This window comes from Homo sapiens, chromosome 18 (assembly GCF_000001405.40).
Source record: "Homo sapiens chromosome 18, GRCh38.p14 Primary Assembly".
Taxonomy (NCBI): Eukaryota; Metazoa; Chordata; class Mammalia; order Primates; family Hominidae; genus Homo; species Homo sapiens.
The window spans coordinates 49,318,125-49,338,419 of record NC_000018.10 but is presented as its reverse complement, the minus strand read 5'-3'; the positions used below and the strand labels follow the sequence as shown (position 1 = coordinate 49,338,419).

The 20,295-nt window shown below is 36.9% G+C and overlaps 1 protein-coding gene across 41 annotated transcripts in view, besides 1 other annotated feature; it reads left to right on the top strand.

Moving 5' to 3' along the window:
• Positions 1–20,295, top strand: part of DYM (dymeclin) — a 424,259-nt gene that overhangs the window by 122,226 nt on the left and 281,738 nt on the right. For 35 of the 41 annotated variants that reach the window (NM_001374439.1, XM_047437559.1, XM_047437553.1 and 32 more), the window contains 2 exons: positions 4,567–4,692; positions 6,414–6,556. The exons of 4 other annotated variants lie outside the window; for them this stretch is intronic. In NM_001374439.1, coding sequence (NP_001361368.1) covers positions 4,567–4,692; positions 6,414–6,556 — 269 coding nt within the window. The remainder of the gene's footprint in view (positions 1–4,566; positions 4,693–6,413; positions 6,557–20,295) is intronic. 2 more of the 41 variants (NM_001374436.1, NM_001374432.1) reach the window with 1 other exon arrangement.
• Positions 18,291–18,866: an enhancer, noted in NCBI's record as "NANOG hESC enhancer chr18:46845924-46846499 (GRCh37/hg19 assembly coordinates)". NCBI's record gives its function as "activates a minimal SCP1, AML or CMV promoter by ChIP-STARR-seq in primed H9 embryonic stem cells {active_cell/tissue: H9 hESC(primed)}" and the evidence as "EXISTENCE:reporter gene assay evidence [ECO:0000049][PMID:30033119]".

Genomic DNA, 20,295 nt, shown 5'->3' with positions numbered 1-20,295 from the left:
ATTTATGCAGTTCCTCAAAAAAGTCGAGTGAGAATTTTGGTTGTGATTCGTTGACTTTCTGTATTAATCTGGGTAGAATTATTATCTTCATAGTATTGTCATTCTGTTCAGATCATCCACTGTGTCCTTTTTAAATGTTTTTCTTCATAGATGTCCTATGAAGGACCAAAACATTTTATTCCAAACATTTTAGTTATTCTGGCAGTCTTGCAAAATGCTGTTTTGTTTTTGATAACCTACTATTGTTGGTTAGTGCTGCTAAGGAGAAATGCTATTTATCTTTCAAAGTTGATCTTGTATCTGGCCTAGTTGGATTTTTAAATTTATTTGAATAGTTTCTTGATTTTTTAATAACTGTTTTAATCTAACTTCTCCAATATATACATACTTTTTCCATTTTATTAATTTCTCAACTCCCAGTTCGAGTCCCTTTGCTCCCACCCCTTTCCCCCACCTTCTTTTAATCTGTTTGATCGATATTGAATTTCTTATTTTCCTTCAAAACTACCAGACCTTTTTGTGGCTGCCTTTGTATGGTTTCTTCACTTTAATGCCCTTCCCCTTCTTCTTGTTCTTCGTCTGCTCAAATATCATCATCTTTGTGAAGAATTTCCCTTCTGACCCAGGCAGAATTGGTTGCTGTTATCTCTGTGTTCCTAATACAGATAGTTCATATTCTTTCATGGGATTTGCCGGATTTCATAGTAATTTCTTTTTCTATGTTTGATTATTCCGCTGACTCTTCACTAGGACTCCTCTCTTTCTTCTCTCCTTTTTGCTCCTTCCCCCTCAATCTCTTGTCACTGCTGTGATGTTCTCAATCTCTTGTCACTGCTGTGATTGGCTATGTTCTCAGGCAGGATCCATCGACAGAGAAAACCAGTAGCAGCTCTATCCATACATAGTTCTTAGCACTCACAATCTCAGAAGGAGAGAGTGCCTCTTTTCTGATAGTTCCAGAAGTGCTGGGAAGGATTTTGACAAAGACCATTTTTATTGGCCAAACGTGGATCACCAGAAGGCAGAGTCGTGCCCCATCCAATCCACATGTATGGAGGGGAGGGAGGTTCTCAGGAGGACAAAAGGGCTGCTTTTGCCAGAAGAACAGGAGGTGGATGTTGGTCAGGCAAAATCAACAGAGGACAGCTGTAAGCCAGTCAACAACATTCTGGATCCTTCTTTCATGAAATTCCCTTTACATTTTTGTTGCAATGAGTATTCCATTTGTGCTTATGAATACATATTACCTGACCTCAGCATTCTTCTTCCTCTTTGCTATCCTAAGTTATATATGCCTTGTACGCTTTGCTGATGGATCTATTAAGGAAGGTATTCAATAAGTTTCCAGTCAAAATGAAAACAGTAAAGATCCCTCCATCTTTCCATTTATTTATCCATTGAGTACCTATTATATACTAGAGTTGAGAATATAAACAACAGCAAAAATGAAAGGTTCTCTAGCTAGAGTCTCATATATTATAGTAAGAAAGATTTGTAAGTAATTGCCACTCATACTCCAGGTTTTAAATGCCACTTTTTAAGAGACGCTTTCTTTTGATCCCATAGTTACTATCAGAGTGTCCTGTAATCCTCTCCTGTTATTACTTGTTTTTTTCCTTTATAGTCCTTTTTGGAGTGATTATTATTTGATTTTTCTTTTTTCCACTAAATTGTAAGCTTCATAAAGGCAGGAGCCTTGTCTATTTGTTGATGGATATGTCCCCAATATGTAGCATAATGCCTGTCTAGAGATAGTAAGAATAAATTTTTAATCAATATTTGTTGAACATCATATGAGCAAAAATACTGTGTGATAAGCAATTTGATATAATTTGTTTCTCTGGGCCTACGGAAGACACACATGGTTCTGTTTAGGAATTTGGGGAAATGGGTTTTTAGCTTGCAGTGACTCTTATTGTCATGTTGTATTGCTTCAGTATTCTTATGTGCTGGAAGCTTTCCTTACCTCCCAGCATCAAACCCTCTACTCTTCATTCTTCTACATTTATAGGATTCCACGGTAAGAGAGGATGATCCAAGGTTAACACTTTTTTTGTTCTCTCACTTCTGATTGTGTTTGGCCCAATTAATTTTGAAGGAGAAGAACACTTTTTTCTAAATACGTATTCTTTCCCTAAGGTTATTAGACCTAGTAATTATTAATAGTCATAGATTTTGGTTTAAGCAAAACTAAAACAATTTAGTAAAACAATTTGTTTCTAGATCTGAGGCATACAGTAAGATGTTAAATTGTAAACCACCACAGCTGATTCTTTATTATTGATGCAATGACAAAATACATTTGCAGTCTGGCACGATGGCTCATGCCTGTAATCCCAGCAGTTTGGGAGCCCCAGGCAGGCAGATCACTTGAGCACAGGAGTTCCAGATCAGCCTGGGCAACATGGTAAAACCCCCTCTTTGTAAAAAAGACAAAAATTAGCTGGGCATGATGGCGTCTGCCTGTAGTCCCAGCTACTTGAGAGGCTAAGGCAGGAGGATCACTTGAGCCTGGGAGGTGGAGGTTGCAGTGAGCCAAGATCGCGCCACTAGGTGTCAGCCTAGGTGACAGACACAGACCCTGTCTCCAAAAAGAAAAAAAAAAAAGACAGAAAACGTTTGCAAATGTATTGGACATAGTCATCCATCTGCCTATCTAAATAGGCTCTAACTCACAGCCAAGTATTTGTTATGTCAGGATTTGGCTTTAAACTCTGACCCAGGTGAAAAGCCTAGCCAGGAGACTATTGTGTATGGATTCCAGACAGGCGTGGGCTATGTTTTGAATGAATGATTATTGTGATACAAAATTTTTGGGGGTTCTGAGCACCCAAATCAAATCATCATTAGTAAATCATAACATGACATGAAACATCAAGTTTGTCTTTCATTCAATTCATGAAAGAAGAACAAATACAAGAATTGCTTTATTTTATTTTTTAAATTTTTTATTTTTATTTTTTGAGACAAGAGTCTCACTCTGTTGCCCAGGCTGGAGTGCAGTGGTGTAATCTCAGCTCACTGCAACCTCCACCTTCTGGGTTCTAGTGCCTCAGCCTCCTGAGTAGCTGGGATTACAGGCATGTGCCACTATGCCCAAGAATTGCTTTTTACAGGTTAATTTTTACAACAGTGATTATGGAAATTTCAGGAAAGAGATTGTTCTACAATACTTTAAAAGTCAGATTTCTGAGTAGAGCTGAGCTTTATTCAACCACGTAATAAGGCTAATTGCGTGGGTCTCTTGTGTTTTTCTTTTTTTATATGTCATTTTTAAATATATTTCTTTTTCTTTCTTTATTTTTTGTTTTTGAGATGGAGTTTCGCTCTTATCGCCAAGGCTGGAGTGCAATGGCACGATCTTGGCTCACTGCAACTTCCGCCTCCCAGGTTCAAGCCATTCTCCTGCCTCAGCCTCCCTAGTAGCTGGCATTACAGGTGCCCGCCACCATGCCCAGCTAATTTTTTGTATTTTTAGCAGAGATGGGGTTTTACCATGTTGGCCAGGCTGGTCTCAAACTCCTGACCTCAGGTGATCCACCCGCTTTGGCCTCCCAAAGTGCTGGGATTACAGGCGTGAGCCACTGAGCCTGGCCTTTTAAACATATTTCTATCAGTAATAACTCCTTAAGATATCTGGTAGAATTTAAATTTTTCTAGTTCTAGAATCAAGTCATCATTAATTTGTTTAATGAGCTTTCATTTAAGTAGGTGTTAAGTATTTTTCTTTGTTTTTCATAATTATTTCATTTTTATAAAAATATTTTAGTATTCTTTTGGTGCTATTGCTCTTTTTACTGCGTTGTTGAGGTTTCTACTTCCTTGGTCTTAACATGTTCCCCATTATAATCCTGTTTAAACTTTTGCAGTAACTGGAAATTTCTGGATGCCTTTATTCCTCTGTGTGCTTTCTGTTCAGCTGAATCTTTTTCTTTTTATTTGATCTAAGACTTGTTTCCCAAAGGGGTTTATGATCTTGAGAGGACAGAGTAACCCTTCATAATCAAAATATGCTTAATAAAACAGGAATAACTTGTTTACTGTTAATATTTTGCTGAACATGCAAAGTTGACCTTGAGAAAGGTAGGCACTAGAGACACAAGATCTAGGGTGTATTATTGTTCTGATTGTAAAGTGATCATCAACATGAAAAGGCATTGTTTTCTTCCCTACACTGTACCTTCTCTTCAGCTTTACAATCTGAGTATTTGTCTCTGTATTATCACTAAACAGAAATGAACATAGATGTCTAGAGTGAATCTTCAAAACAGAACACTGCTAGTAACTATTTCCATTATACATAAATAGACTTGTCATTTAATAGGAGATGGAAACTGGAAAATAGGGAAATAAAGGGATAACTAACCCAAATACACCAGCTAATGACAGGGAAGGAGTTTAATATTTTTGCTTGACTTAATTTTTGTATTAAACGTATTAACATTTTTCAGTAACCTGAAAATACTGAATATTTAGATTTGAGTTTTTAAATGTATAGTTCATTTAGAAAAGAATAGTGTCTTAATCTTCCAAAGTGACTGTTACTCTGTTTTTCTTCCATTTTAGAGATATTACATATGAAATATCAGTAGAAGCTATATCAACAATGGTTGTTTTCCTTTCCTGCCAACTCTTCCACAAAGAAGTTTTGCGACAGAGCATCAGCCACAAGTATTTGATGCGAGGTCCATGGTATGTTTCTACTTTAAGTATGTCTAGTTTTTTCATTGTATAAATCTATATTTCTAGTCTTGTCCTTTTACCTGAGTATCGTCCCATATCTCCAACCAGGTATTTCCTCTAGTTGTTCTATTGTCTCTTTAAACCCAGTGCATAGGGAACCGCATTCTACTTTCCTGTGCCATCTACCCATCCTCCCTGTTCTTCCTGTCCCGTAGCTTCATTACCTTCTCCAGTGGTTGCTTCGTAGAATTGAAACTTTGAAATCATCTTTTTCTTCCATCTCCTTCATTCTGTCTATGTTTAAGCAGTCAAGTCATATTTGTTATTCAGATTATTTTTGTATCTTCCTCTTCTCAGCAGTCCCTTTGAAACACCTGTGATCTATGCCCCCTTACTCTCTTTGGACTTCTCCAGCAGCCTCTTCGCTGACTATTCCTACTTCTTTGAGCCTGCAAATATTTGCTGTGTGCTATCCATGTGCCAGGCATGTTAGACTGTGGGGCTATGCTCTTGAGCAGAAGCTTACGATCTCCTAGAGGGTGTGGATGCAAATGACCAACACATATGCACATACCTGACCTTTTATTAACATAATCTTCACAAAACTTTAAAAATGTAAAACAAATCCAAATAAAGTACCTTTGAGGAAAGTTCTCAGATAGTGGGGAGCTTTGTCTTCTTCATATTCTTTTTGCTACCCTGATTATTCCTGTGGCATGTATGTTCTTTGAACATATTTGAAAATCACTGAGGGAAAGGATCTGGGCTTTGGAGTCAGAGGTTTGCATTGGAACCCTCTCTGACAGAGACACTCAGAATGACACTCAGAATGACCGTGGTTTGAAGTAGTGCTGGCATCGTGGGACTGTGTGCATCTTTGCTGAAACAAGATTGTGAACTTCATCCCTTATAGTGCCAGAGTATTCAAGTTGCTTTTTAAAAATAGACATAGAGGGTGTTAGTGTTCTTATTTTCTAAGTAAGGTTTTTATAGTATCATTATGGTGCCACATATTTAAACCGTAATATGTTCTTTACTTATTTTTGGGGTTCATCTTGGAAACCATATTTAAAAAGCTCAATAGTACATTAAAGAATCTGTTAAAAAGTTTACTCTATATTGCAGGAATTAGTTTAATACCAATTGAATAATTGAATAATTTCATACTTAAAAAGTGTAGTCCTATTGTTATTTTTAAATTCTTGCTTTTTTCTACTGATTCTTTATTACTACTTCCCTTCAATTGCCAGATAATGTGTTATGCACTAAATTTATAATAGCTCACAGTGTTATACCGAATGTAGATAAAGTAACTGGAGTTCAAGAGTTCAAGTGGGCTGGGCACGGTGGCTCACGCCTGTAATCTCAGCACTTTGGGAGGCTGAAGCGGGAGGATCGCTTGAGTTTAGGAGTTTGAGACCAGCCTGGGCAACATAGTGAGACCTTGTCTCTACCAGACCTTGTTTCTCCCCACTGCAGAAAAAAAGTATTTAAGTAATTTGATCAATATCTTATGATGTGATAAGAGGAAAAGCAAGGATTAAGCCTCAAAATTGCTCTCAAAGCCCATGGTCTTCACTGTTGTGTGCAGTGCTCAATTTCTGTGAGTTGTGCCAATAGCCCTTTTGTATTAACAGATAGTGTTAATGGCAGAATTATTTCTGTATTGTTATTCAGAATTAGATGACTCCCATAAATATGAGTTTGATTTTTTTTTCCTTTTTGTATAGTCTTCCATACACCAGCAAACTTGTGAAGACCTTATTATATAACTTTATCAGACAAGAAAAGCCACCTCCTCCAGGGGCCCATGTTTTCCCTCAGCAGTCGGATGGGGGAGGACTGCTTTATGGACTTGCATCAGGAGTAGCAAGTAAGTTTTATCAGATTTTTTCAATTCTTTGGTGCACATAAATTTTATCTATTTAGGCATAAGAAATTCTGTTTGCTTGGCTGCCACCATTAATAGTTACATTGAATTTGTGCAGCTGGTTCAATGTGAAAACAAAGTAATTAAAATATTAATCTTTCTGTTTTGTGCGGTGATTTATGTAAAATGTATGCAAATAATGAATGGATTACCTACAAAACATCGTTTTTCAGGAAGAATGTTTACACATAAATATGCGTATTGCATGAATTGTAGCTGTATAGTAAAAATAAAATTAAGCATTTGAAAACTTATAACACTACTTGTATTATAAGAGGAAATCTATTTTAGGTTATTTTAGGGTATATTTTGGTTAGGATTTCATGTGACTAATTAGGTGCAGTTTTCCTATTACACTAAGTGCTTTCTTCAGTGACAACTGAATATTTTGCAGAATTTTGTAATAAGCTGTGAAATGGCACAAACTTGAGTTTTGTTTGATTGGGTGCAGATTTCTTAAGTGAAGAAAGCTCTTCCCTACCTTACAATAAGTCCTCATTTCTGCTTCACTTCACAGTATTCAGACTACAGACACTAGAAGTAAGAGAGTAGTTCTGGTGGAGGGCCTGGGTCATGTGAAGTTATATAAATGAAACTTCCTAGAGCGACACTTTGGTACTTGTGAGGTCGGCCTGGGAGTTCCTTACTCCTCCCAAACCTGCAGCATGTCCTCTCCTTAATCACGCAGGACAGAGTCAAATGGAACACATTTCCACAGCTGCATTATGGCTGTGGCGTGCTCTACACTCCAGCTGGACATCAGTTTGATATGAAAAGGTAGCACTGTGATAACTTACTAGTGTTGGGAGCTTCTTTGGATTCAGAGACCTCTTCAAAAAGCAGTAGACTTGGTCTGTTAATTGACAGAAATCAGTGAACCAGACTTTCTTAGATTTGCCTTCCTTTGATTTCTTTTAATATTATGAATTGAGTCACACTTGTGATCACTTCTGCCTTTGGTGCTGAGCAGCCTGCCAAGAGTGCCACACCTGCATAGATTCTTTGAGTTACTCCTATCCAGTTTCCTCATTATTTCAGGGGCTTTTTGTGTCCCATTGGAAGGCTTAATTGATCTATTACTGTTTTCTTTTTTAAAAATCATTAAACTGGTATAAGTATTTAAAAGCTGAATATTTCCCAATATTCCAATATGGTTAGAGGTTTTTTTGGGGTGGCAGAGATAGTATAAGCCTGTAAGTGCTTTCTTCAAAACAATGGCAATACTTGGCAGTTTTTTAAAAAAGTAAACATGGATTTGTGTATGGTTTTTGGGTTTTCTTTCAGTTATGTATCATATCAAAGGGAACCCAGTATTGCATGTGGTATCATTAGTGTGCCAGGTGCCAAAAAACATGAATTTAACTTTAGATCTTTTCCTAACTAGATAGCAGGAAGGAAGCCCCTTAATTTTCCTAGCTCTCAGTTTCCTTGTCTATCTAATTAGAAGGTGGGTTGAGATGGTGATTTCTGAGATTATTACTACATAATTTTCTATGGTCTTTTTTTTCTCACGGTTTTAAAATTTAATATTCAGTTAAGTGCATTAAAATAGATTTATGGTTTTTAGTGTGCTATATAGTCACAAGACATTTTACACAGCTTTCTTCCTAAATCTTTATAAAACTATTCATGTAAAAGTATAAATCAAGATGGAGTAATTATGGATTCATTATTTCATGATATGTGTGACTCAAAGGATTATAAAAAAACAACAAAAGGACATTCTCCTAAAAAGCACAGCTACGTTCTCTGGGCAAAATGAAATGTAAAAACGATCACAGTCATGTAATTTTAAGTTAATCCACATTCCAGGAAAGTCAATCAAGTTGCCAGGATTTGACTTAAGTTGTGTGATCACTTCTGATGATCTTTTGGTTGGTAGTTAAAGAATTCTCTTACTTTACTATTGGCTTGAGAAAATATGATTTGGAAGTTCCTCACTGAAAAAAATTATATTCCAAAGCCAAATGTAAATTATAAACTCATTTGGATTATATTCATTTTTGTTGGGATTGAAGTTTTCCTGGATATAGCAAGCATTTCTTTTCATAGCAGTGTGTGCATTGTATGTGTTGCTTACATTATTTCCTTTGAAACAGAGTGCCTTGTTGTAGAAAACCTTACAGTTCCGGAGTGAAATTTGTTGTCACTGACAGGGCAGGAGGAGAATCCTTGTACTGGAACTGCGGCTGGATGAGTAGTGAACCACTTGCTTGGACCCTCCTATGAGTCAGGCAAGGCCTTCTGCAGTTTCTTCTCATTTACTTTTACAGATGTGTTTTTGGTTATCCTTTTGTTTGTTTCTGAGACTCTGTGAAAGAGTCTGTTACTTTGTTGCACCCTGATACTCTCCTTTTGCTTTCTTCTTTTTTTAAATTATACTTTTTCTAGGGTACATGTGCACAACGTGCAGGTTTGTTACATATGTATATATGTGCCATGTTGGTTTGCTGCACCTGTTAACTCGTCATTTACATTAGGTATTTCTCCTAATGCTATCCCTCCCCCCTCCCCCCCACCCCACAACAGGCCCCAGTGTGTGATGTTCCCTGCCCTGTGTCCAAGAGTTCTCATTATTCAGTTCCCAGCTATGAGTGAGAACATGCGGTGTTTGGTTTTCTGTCCTTGCAATAGTTTGCTCAGAATGATGGTTTCCAGCTTCATCCATGTCCCTGCAAAGGACATGAACTCATCCTTTTTTATGGCTGCAGAGTATTCCATGGTGTATATGTGCCACATTTTCTTAATCCAGTCTATCACTGATGGACATTTGGGTTAGTTCCAAGTCTTTGCTATTGTGAATAGTTGCCACAATAAACATATGTGTGTGTGTGTCTTTATAGTAGCATGATTTATAATCCTTTGGGTATATATCCAGTAATGGGATGGCTGGGTCAAATGTTGTTTCTAGTTCTAGAACCCTGAGGAATCGCCACACTGTCTTCCACAATGGTTGAACTAGTTTACAGTCCCACCAACAGTGTAAAAGTGTTCCTATTTCTCCACATCCTCTCCAGCACCTGTTGTTTCCTGACTTTTCAATGATTGCCATTCTAACTGGTATGAGATGGTATCTCATTGTGGTTTTGATTTGCATTTCTCTGCTGACCAGTGATGATAAGCATTTTTTCATGTGTCTGTTGGCTGCATAAATGTCTTTTGAGAAGTGTCTATTCATATCCTTTGCCCACTTTTTGATGGGGTTGTTTGATTTTTTTTCTTGTAAATTTGTTTAAGTTCTTTGTAGATTGTGGATATTAGCCCTTTGTCAGATGAGTAGACTACAAAAATTTTCTCCCATTCTGTAGGTTGTCTGTTCACTTTGATGGTAGTTTCTTTTGCTGTGCAGATGCTCTCTTTTTTCATGCCTTCACTAGGATAGAACAGTTGCTTGGAGTCCTCCTTACTTCTCTCTCTGGCTCTTTATTTTCTGCCCATTCATCCATTAAGGACCGTCTTGAGTTCCACCTTCTCCATGAAGAACTTCCTTTGCTCTCCTGGCTAGATGCGATCTTTTCCTCTAACGCTTTACCACTATACCACTCTGCTTTGTAGTAACTTATGTACATGCATCATTCTCCCTGTGTTGGCTCCACATACAATAAAATGAGAACTAATGTTTATATAATATGAGTTTACAGTGCCACGTTTTGAGCATCTCATTTATTCTCATAATAGGCTCATCTATCAGAAATAGTTGGTTTTAATTTTTTAATGATGGATGAAGAGATTTTCCTGGTTAGTATGTTATTTTGTCTAAGATTACATAGGAAATAGATGATGTTGGCTCGTTAATTTAAGCTCAGTTCATCAGACCCCTGAGCCTTTGCTGTTTCTGCCTTTTGTTCTTGTGATCACCCAAGTCCTGAGGGCATAAGCTCCTTGACTTGTGTGGGTGTCCCCTGCAGTATCCAGCAGAGCGCCATCCAACATCTGTGGACTGTAGTGAATACTGGTGTGCAATTAAATGCCAAAAGCTCATACTCAAGATAGATGTGAACTCAGTTGTAAGAATGATGTCTGTCATTTGCTGAATGCCTTCTGTTTGCCAGGCACTGTGGTAGCTACTTTACATACCTGATTTCATTTATTCTTTATTTTTCTTTTCTAACATTTTATTACAGAAAATTTCAAAGATGTATAGAGTAGATGCCAGGTGCAGTGGCTCATGTCCGTAATCCCAGTGCTTTGGGAGGCTGACGTGGGTGGATCGCTTGAGCTCAGGAGTTTGAGAACAGCCTGGGCAGCATAGTGAGACACCACCTCTATAAAAAACACAAAAATTAGCTGGACGTGGTGGTGCGCGCCTGCAGACCCCGCTACTTAGGAGTCTGAAGTGGGTAGTTCGCTTGAGCCTGGAAGGTCGAGGCTGCAGTGTGCTGTGATCACGCCACCGCACTCCAGCCTGAGTGACAGACTTTGTCTCAACAACAAAAAAACAAAAACAAAACAAAACCCTAAAGATATACACAGTAGAGAGAATGGTAGAATGAACTCCCATCTACCCACAACCCCTGCTCAAGAATGATCAACAATCTTTTTTTCCCATTTATCTGCATTCTCCTACTTAAAAAAAAATTTTATTTTGAAATAAGTTCACACATATAGAAAAGTCCCCAAAATAAAAATATCACAAAAAACTATATGTAACTTTATCCAGATTGATTTATTGTTAACATTTTATCCCATTTGTTGTGTTTTTTCTCCTCTTCTGTCTCATTCTGTACTTTCTTCTCTCTCTCTCCCCCTTTCTCTTTCTCTCCCCCCACCACACACACACACACACACACACACACACACACACACACACACACGGTTTTTTAAAATCATTTGAGGATAAGTTACATGCATCGTAATATCCCTTTACTCCTAAATACTTTAATGTGTATTTCCTGAAAGAGGATATCGCTTATGCTACCACAGTATACTTACCAGCTTCAGTAAATTTAGCATCCAACTGTCCTTAAAAGCCATTTGCTTCTACGTCAATAAAAATAAGAAAATGGATATTTTCCTCTGTATTTTAAAGTCTCCTTTATTGAGTATAGCGTTATTTGTATTTCACTTAAGTTGAATTTTTACAATTAGGTATTCTTGTAACCACTCTGCTATCAATTTATCTATCTTACACTAAAAGCCCCATGAGGCAGGATCCACCTCTCTTCCTTCTGTTTATTATTGGCACTGCAGTACTCAGTGAGTGCTTGGTTGGCATTCAATCAGAATGTAATAAATAACTGGAAGAATTACTAATACCTTTTAATTACCACTAGTAAGTTTTTAAAATTAGTGTAATAGAAATTAACTTATAGATTTTAGGTTTTTTTTTTTTAAGCTTTTCAAATGTGTCAAGTGTGGTTTACTTCAGTCACTGGAAGTGGTTAGAATGAATTATATATTAATATATTTATCTTGTGTTATATCTATGCTAGGTGCAAGCAAAGCTGTATTAGTAATTTTCCAGTACAAGAAAAAATTGTTTCCTTTCTGTTTAGTTTAACTATTCTTCTAATATGCTGACAAAATGGAAAAAGAATTAATTGATATATTACTTTACTAATTAGAAGAGGGTGTTGCAGTTTTAATTAATTTGGTATTTTTAAATGAACTTTTTACTGAATCATAGAATTCCAGAACCACCTGGCATACTTAAAAAAAAATATGTGTTGTAGTTAGAACTTGGAGTTTCTGATTCATTAGACATGAGGTGGGACCTGGTAATTCGCACCTTCAGTAATTATTCTAGGTGATTCTGATGTATCCGAGTCATTTCAGCACCGCTGATGAATGCATCCTCCTTTCCAGTTCCTGAATCTCTTCTGCTGTGGGCCTTTCATGGCATGTGGTTGAGCCAGTACTACTAACTACTGAGGAAATGTGTTGTTTCGAGGCAGCTTATGGTGGATTTAATGGACCCCTCCTCGTGTATTCCCTTGGTTTCTGTTCTTAGTGTGCTCTGTTGCTGATGAGGTCCAGTTTTCAGGATAAATCTGACAATGAGTGCAGTACTCTAACATGGAATAAATAAATTGGAACTCTAACTTCCCTGATTCTGGACTCTACGTTTAAAAAAATAAATCTAAATGCACACTAACTCTTTTGGTGCTAATATCAGTTATTAATAAATTTTTTGCCTATTTTATCATCTAAGCCTTTTCCAGATCTGTAGTTTTTATGTGCTATCTTCCTTTTTCAAACTTTATATATAAAGGTATGGCTCTCTGTGTAGCTCAGTGAGATTCAATTTTGTTAGGTGTGTGGCCCATAATTACAGCCAAGATTTGCTCTTATTTTCAGCTGCAGATGATCATTAAACCTATATTTTGGGGCTTTTTGCTTTTCTTCAGGATTGTGTCCTTGGTACCATATTGAGAGAGGAGTAGCACATTTTAATTCTTGTGTGGAGAGCAGAGTGTTTCTGTAGCTGTCACGTGTAAAATAACAACAAAAGTGAATGTAACTAGGGATTTTTTGACTGTTTTTTATAGAATAGATTTCATTTGCTGGAAGCCTGGTAAGGATTTGCTGTGAGGTCAGTAGCCTGGGTTTTCCAGGCAGCAGACTTTAGAGTTAATAAGGAACAAGGATTCCTATAGTTTCCCCTGTGTTTTAGGACTTACCCACAGGAATCTTTGCAAAACTGGAGCTAGTAGTACACCTGGTGGTGGGAGGTGCCTGGGAGCCTCTTAGGGGTTCAAATCCCCCCAATATCTCACCCTGGATTATTATTATCCCGGGACCTCTCAGATGCCTTTTCTCATCTCCCACTCCTGGACATCCTGGTGGCTAAGGGTGGGTTCTAGAGCCTGATAATCAGAATCAGAAGATTTGGGATAGAGTCATAGCTCAGCATGACCTTACCAAGTTCTCCAGCATTTAAAATCTCATTACCTTATGTGTAATGCTGATAAATATGAGACCATTTGAACAGAGTTATTGTGAGGAATAAGTGAGATATTATATACAAAATAGAAAATTATACAACATCTATTCCCATGTAAATAACTGTTTTTGTTTTCTGCCCTGAAGCTGTGCTGGTGCTTATTAGTTAAAATAGAAAGAAAGAAAATAAATTTAATTAGAACAACAGCTAATGATCAGAAAATCCTGGACAAATTTATATAAGACAATTTAAAAATTTAAGAACTTTGAATCTTTTTGGTCTGCTCAAATTTGAAATTTATGTTAAAAATATTTTTGAAAAACTGACAAAAGTGAATATGCCAGCCATGTTTTCTCCAACTGGCTTTTCATTTTATGTGGTGCAAAATTTGGCCAATAACAGTTAAAAAAGGAAAATTTGATTGTTAAACAGATATTGCCCACAAGAGATTTCTCCTTGCTTCCTAAGTGAACTTGCCTTGACAACAATCACTATGGTACCATTTCTTATTGACTAATTTATCTAAAAGGTTATTATATTTGCCTTGACAGTTTGTTTATAAAATTTGCCAATTAAAGATTTTCATAAAGAAAATATTTGATGCAGACTCAACTGGAATTACAATAAATATTTCAAATGTTTCAAACTAATCAATGATATCAGTATTATGGGTAGCCTTAAGTATAGTCAGTACGGCAGTTAATAGTTAATTCTTTCTTTAATCTACGAGCACATCACCCTGCCGTGTTAAAGATTTTTTTTTTTTTTTTTTTTTTTTTTTTTTTGAGACAGAGCCTATCTGGCTCTGTCACTCAGGCTGGAGTGCAGTGACATGATGTAAGCTCACTGCAACCTCCGCCTCCCAGGCTCAAGCGATTGTCGTGCCTCAGCTGCCTGAGTAGCTGGGATTATAGGCACCTGCCACCATTCCTAATTTTTTATGTTTTTACTTGAGACATGATTTCACCATGTTGGCCAGGCTGGTCTTGAACTCCTGACCTCAAGTGATCTGCCCGCCTTGGAGCTGGAATTACAGGCATCAGCCATCATGCCCATCCGTTAAAGATGTTTTATAAAGCAAATGACTGAAGACCCTTACTTCCATAATTTGTTATGTTATGGGACAGGATGTTAGATGGTAAAGTATTGTCTTAGCTTGGGCTAATGTAACAAAATACCGTAGGCTGGGTGTCTTGAACAACAGAAATGTATTTCTCACAGTTCTGGAGGCTGGGAAGTCAGAGATCCAGGTGCCAGGAGATTCACTTCTTGGTGTAGAACCCTATTCCTGACTTGCAGATGTCCACCTTCTTGCTGTGTCCTCACAGGGCAGAGAAAGGAAGCTCTGGTCTTTTCTTTTGAGGGCACTAAGCCCATCATGGGGGCTCCACTCTCACGATCTCATCTAAGCCTAATCACCTTCCAAAGCTCCACCTTCTAATCCCTTCACATTGAGACCTGTGGCTTCAAGATAGGAATTTTGAGGGTGACACAAAAATTCAGTCCATACCAGGTATTAAGTAGCTTGTGCTGGAATGCTCCTCACTGAAATTCTCAATTTGGAAGGCTACTGATCTCTTCTGCATGTTGGCATCTAAGGTACCTTTCAGCTCTAGTCATTATCTTAAACCACAGCTCTGCTTAGTGGTGTTGGTGAGGACTGTGGCCAAAGTGGATCACTCACTACCCATTCTAACCCTGCTAACTTGTTTTTTTGTTATGTTTTGTTTTTGTTTTTTAAAAAACAAAAAACAAAACAAAACAGGCCAAAATGTGTAAGGAGCCCCTCAGAAAACAATTCTGTGATTGAAACACGTTATTCTCTTTTCTAATTTTGAGGGCCACCACTTACATTGTCCTTTGGAGGATCTAGCTATGGGTTACAATAATTTGGTATTACAGAAGAGGGACGTACTGGACTGTAGATGTTTGTGTTAGGTAGACCTGGAATTGAATGCCAGACCTGCTATTTATTAACTGAGTGTTCTTGGGCTATTAACCTTTCAATAACTTAAATTCCTCACAATAAAATGAGAATAATACCTTCCTTTGTGGGGCTGCTGAGATCAAATGAGCAAATGTGTAGGAAAAAGACTGGTATCTTGGAAGTATACAATAAATGGTCACTATTAGTATCAGATATTATTACCTGGTAATATTTAAAATATAACTTTTGTTTTAAAAATACTGAAAAATAAAGGCCTTATGATTTCCAAGTTTATTCAGATTTTTAATGTAAATAAATTATGAAAATTATCAGATGTTTGGTATATACACTGTTTATATATTGTAATATAACATACATATAATAATGTATACAATAAATATATAATAGAGATTCAGGTAGATGATGAAAGAAATATGTTGAAAATTTGATACCATGAGGTGAAATAAGTTGTAACATTTATTTTATTTTATTTTTTTTCATTTGATTCTGTCCTTACCACTTTGGACTTTTCTTTTAATATATTTTTCTCCAATGTCTAAAAAAGGGGTGAAGCAAGGAAGTGTTGACTTTGAAATTTCTTCTGTGTTTTAAGTTATAAGACAAAGCTGTAATGTCATTATAATTATTTCATATTTTGAAGAGTCAAATCTAATTAAATGTGTTCTGCCAAACTTCACTTTCCACCACAAGTACTGAGGTTTTACACAATAACTTCTGATATATGGTTTTTCCATTTGAATGAGCCATCCAAAAAAATTTTTTTTTTCCTTTGCTTGCAATGGTGGGTGTCCAAGCCAAATTATAAGGCCAAAGGAGTGTTTATTTCTTTAGGCAAATGCTATGATAGAGAAATTCATACAGTAGAACTTGAAGATTAAAACTCATATTCCTAATTTCTGTTTTTGAGAAAGCTGTTGAATTCATTGTGATGGGTATGGTATGCAGTAATTATAATGTATTTTACTTGATTGTTATTTTTCTCTTCAGTTTTGGCTTTTTCTAGGGTGACTCATTGAGAGAGAAAAACTACAGTAAGAGAAAAAGTATGTGGCAATCAGAAACAGGCATAGTTGTGAAAATAACAGATTTCTAATTAAAACACTTCTAACTTTCAAAAAAGAAACTGCTTAATAAACAATAATTATATTCTCATTTCATCTCTATTTGGAATAATTTGAGAGATTTTACGTGCTCACAGAAAGAATGACTTTTTTCCCCCCCTTTTCAGGATTGAACTCATTTTGTGACTTATAAAATATAGTTAATTTCTGTTTACTGTTTCTGTGCAGTGGTTCCTTGCAGGGATACATTGATGATTTGGAATAGTGTTTATGATGCAAAAGAACTATATTTAGTTGTAGAGTAGTAATAAAAATTATTTTATTTTTAATTGCTCTTTGACAAAAGTATGGTTTCAGATTTTAGACTTCTTAAAAGGTGTTTTAAAAATGATATTCATTGGAAATAATCTAATGTCAAAATACAGCTTTGTTATCTTTTTTTCTTGTAATTTGCTGACAACCACTTTTAAACCAGTTCCCAGGATTGGCTTTGGGAATCATTAAGCCCACCTTCTACTCTCATTTTCTTGTTAACAGATTTGAAGGGAAGACTGATGGCCTCTTTCATGCTACAAATAGTTGAAGAATGAATTAGTTTGTATTTACAAGGAGGAATATAGAATAAAGCAATCAATTGCAGATGAAATCCTGGGATAAGTTTCTGAGACTTGCTACAAGTGCCATTTATTTGGTGCTAATGATTTAATCTATTTTTGAGACTGAGTTGTAAATTGTAGAATTTAAAAATATTTAAAAGTGAGAATATTAAAATTGAAATTATGGAATTCTATTTTTTGAGACTATAAATCTTATTCTTTGAAAAATGAAGTGGTTAAAACTTATTTGCTTTGAAACTGTTAAATTATATCCCAGTCAAGTGAGTGTAAACTTTTATTAAGCAGCTGTTTTAATTTATGTTTATTTCAGAATGGATGCTTGGAGTAAATTTAAAGATTAAATTTATTCAAGGTTACTCACTGACAGAATTTGTGTATGGTAGGAAAAATCCTCAAACTATAGCTTGTGTAGTTTTGAGACTACCTTTTACATGAATAATTCTTAATATTTATAATTACATAAATATTTTTTTCGAAGACTAACGGTAAGAGTTATTCAAAACTTTCCCTTTTAAAATAGAATCAGGCCAGCCACGGTGGCTCACACCTGTAATCCCAGCACTTTAGGAGGCCCAGGCAGGCGGATCACCTGAGGTCAGGGGTTCGAGACCAGCCTGGCCAACATGGTGAAACCCCATCTCTACTAAAAATACTAAAATTATCTGGACTTGGTGTTGCACCTGTAATCCCAGCTATTCTGTAGGCTGAGATGAGAGGATTACTTGAACCCGGGAGATGAAAGTTGCAGTGAGCCAAGATTGTGACATTGCACTTCAGCCTGGGTGTCAGCGCGAGACTCTGTCTTGATTAAAAAATAATAATAATAAATAAATAGAATCACTGTGTTTCTGCAACTTAACTTTGACATACATTAATAAAATAAGTTACATTTATGGATGAATAGAGGGATTGATAGATGGATAGAGATATTATCACAAATACAGCAAAATGTTAATGTAAAATCTTGGAGCTGAGTTTATGGGTATTCATTATAGAGTTTTTTGACTTTTCTATATGTTTGACTATTTTCATAATAAGTGTTGGAGGAAAATAGAATCACTGTGAGGATGAATTACTGTTGTAAATTTCAGTTTGTCTATTAAAAATGTATATCTTAATCTTTAGTCCTTCCAGAAGTGCTAGGTAAGACAGTATATGAAGAATGTGGGGTCTGATCAGACCTGACTGCACGCTAATAAGCTCTATACTTGGGAAAGTTATGTAATTTCTCCAAGCTTTTCCCTATCTTTAAAAACGGAATGATGATGCTTTATAGGATTATGGCACATGGCTCTTCATTTTTCCCCTCTTGTACTTGTTCATAATCTTTGTGATACCATGGTCCTTAAAGTCCTGTCAAACACAATTGGACAAGTGGTGGAGAGAGAGCAGAGTGCCATTCATCATGGTGCTTAGCAGCCTTCATCTCACTTCTGCAGGACACAGGGGTCCCATACTTGACAAAAGGAAGAGAGGGAGAGAAGCAGCTGTCCCTCTTCACTAGCAGGGTGGTGGATTGGAAGAGGATACGACTTTTGGCATCAGAAAGGTCTCAGCTGGAAACCAGGCCCTGCCTTTTGCAAGTTGAGTCACCTTGAGCAAGTTATTTAACTTTGCTGAGCCCCAGTTTCCTCATTTAAAAATGGAACTTAGAGTATCTTTGTCTGTGGGCTTTTGTCACATTTAAATAACGTGTGATAAGTGTCCAGAACAAAATGCGAGCTGAAAACAAATACTCGTTTACCATTCACCTACTTCATCTTTTTTTCTCCCTCTCATCTATGTCAATTTCTTTAGTTTTCCAAACAACCTTAAATGTTTTTATCTTTCTTGTTTCATGGTCCTTTAGCCTTTCAGCTTGCAAAATTACCTGCAAAATTAATGTAATTTCCCCTTTTTTAGATTATTAAAAAGGATAATAAGTGCAGATTAACCCCAGTAGCACCCTTCACCATAACTTCATCAAATTGGAAGCCTTGCTAGCTATCAGTATCATTTTTCAGGCCTATTAACATTTTTCAGGACAATTAACTCTAGTCCTTGTGCTGTACTTTAGATCTAGTTTGTTTATTTTAGAAAGTGTAGACTAGCAGATATTAGCTTTAAGAGAGCAGTTGTCTTCAATAGTAACTGTTTGAAAGTGTAAAGCTTTGCAACAATGTTTCTAAAAGTAGAAATAATGTTACCTATTTATGGCCGGTTGCGTGGCTCACGCCTGTAATCCCAGCACTTTGGGAGGCCGAGGTGGGTGGATCACAAGATCAGGAGTTCAAGACCAGCCTGGCCAAGATGGTGAAACCCCGTCTCTACTACAAATACAAAAAAAAAAATTAGTTGGGCGTGGTGGCAGGTGCCTGTAATCCTAGCTACTCGGGAGGCTGAGGCAGGAGAATTGCTTGAACTCAGAGGGCGGAGGTTACAGTGAGCCGAGATCGTGCCACTGCACTCCAGCCTGGGCGACAGAGTGAGACTCTGTCTCAAAAAAAAAAAAAAAAAAAAAGAAAAAGAAATAATGTTACCTGTTCATATACATGTTTATCAAGAGAGATGCTATTTGAGTAACTAAAAAATTGTGGGGTTATCACTTACTTTTCAAGATAATTTCTTAAATAAAAAATTGTGGGACCCTTATTTTTAAAGATAATTTCTTTCTCTCTCTCTCTCTCTTTTTTGTGGGGGGACAGAGTCTTGCTGTGTCACCAGGCTGGAGTGCAGCGGCGCCATCTCGGCTCACTACAACCTCTGACTCCCTGGTTCAAGTGATTCTCCTGCCTCAGCCTCCCAAGTAGCTGGGATTACAGGCACACGCCACCATGCCCAATTAATTTTTGTAATTTTTTTTAGTAGAGATGGTGTTTCATCATTTTGGCCAGGATTATCTTGATCTCCTGACCTCTCGAGCTGCCTGCCTTGGCCTCCCAAAGTGCTGGGATTACAGGCGTGAGCCACCATGCCCAGCTTAAAGATAATTTCTAGACCTGGTTTGTTCTCAAGTCTCCTATTCTTGTCTTCTCTCAGTTTCCCATATTGTTCGGATCCTTCTTCATTGCTCTTGGCTTAATAGCCCCTGCATTTCCTGCCTTAGTTTGCTTCTGTGTATCCTGAACAACTGCTTGCATCTCTGGGTTGCCATGATGCTGTAAGCAATGGTGGCTCCAGGAGAAACATTGTGG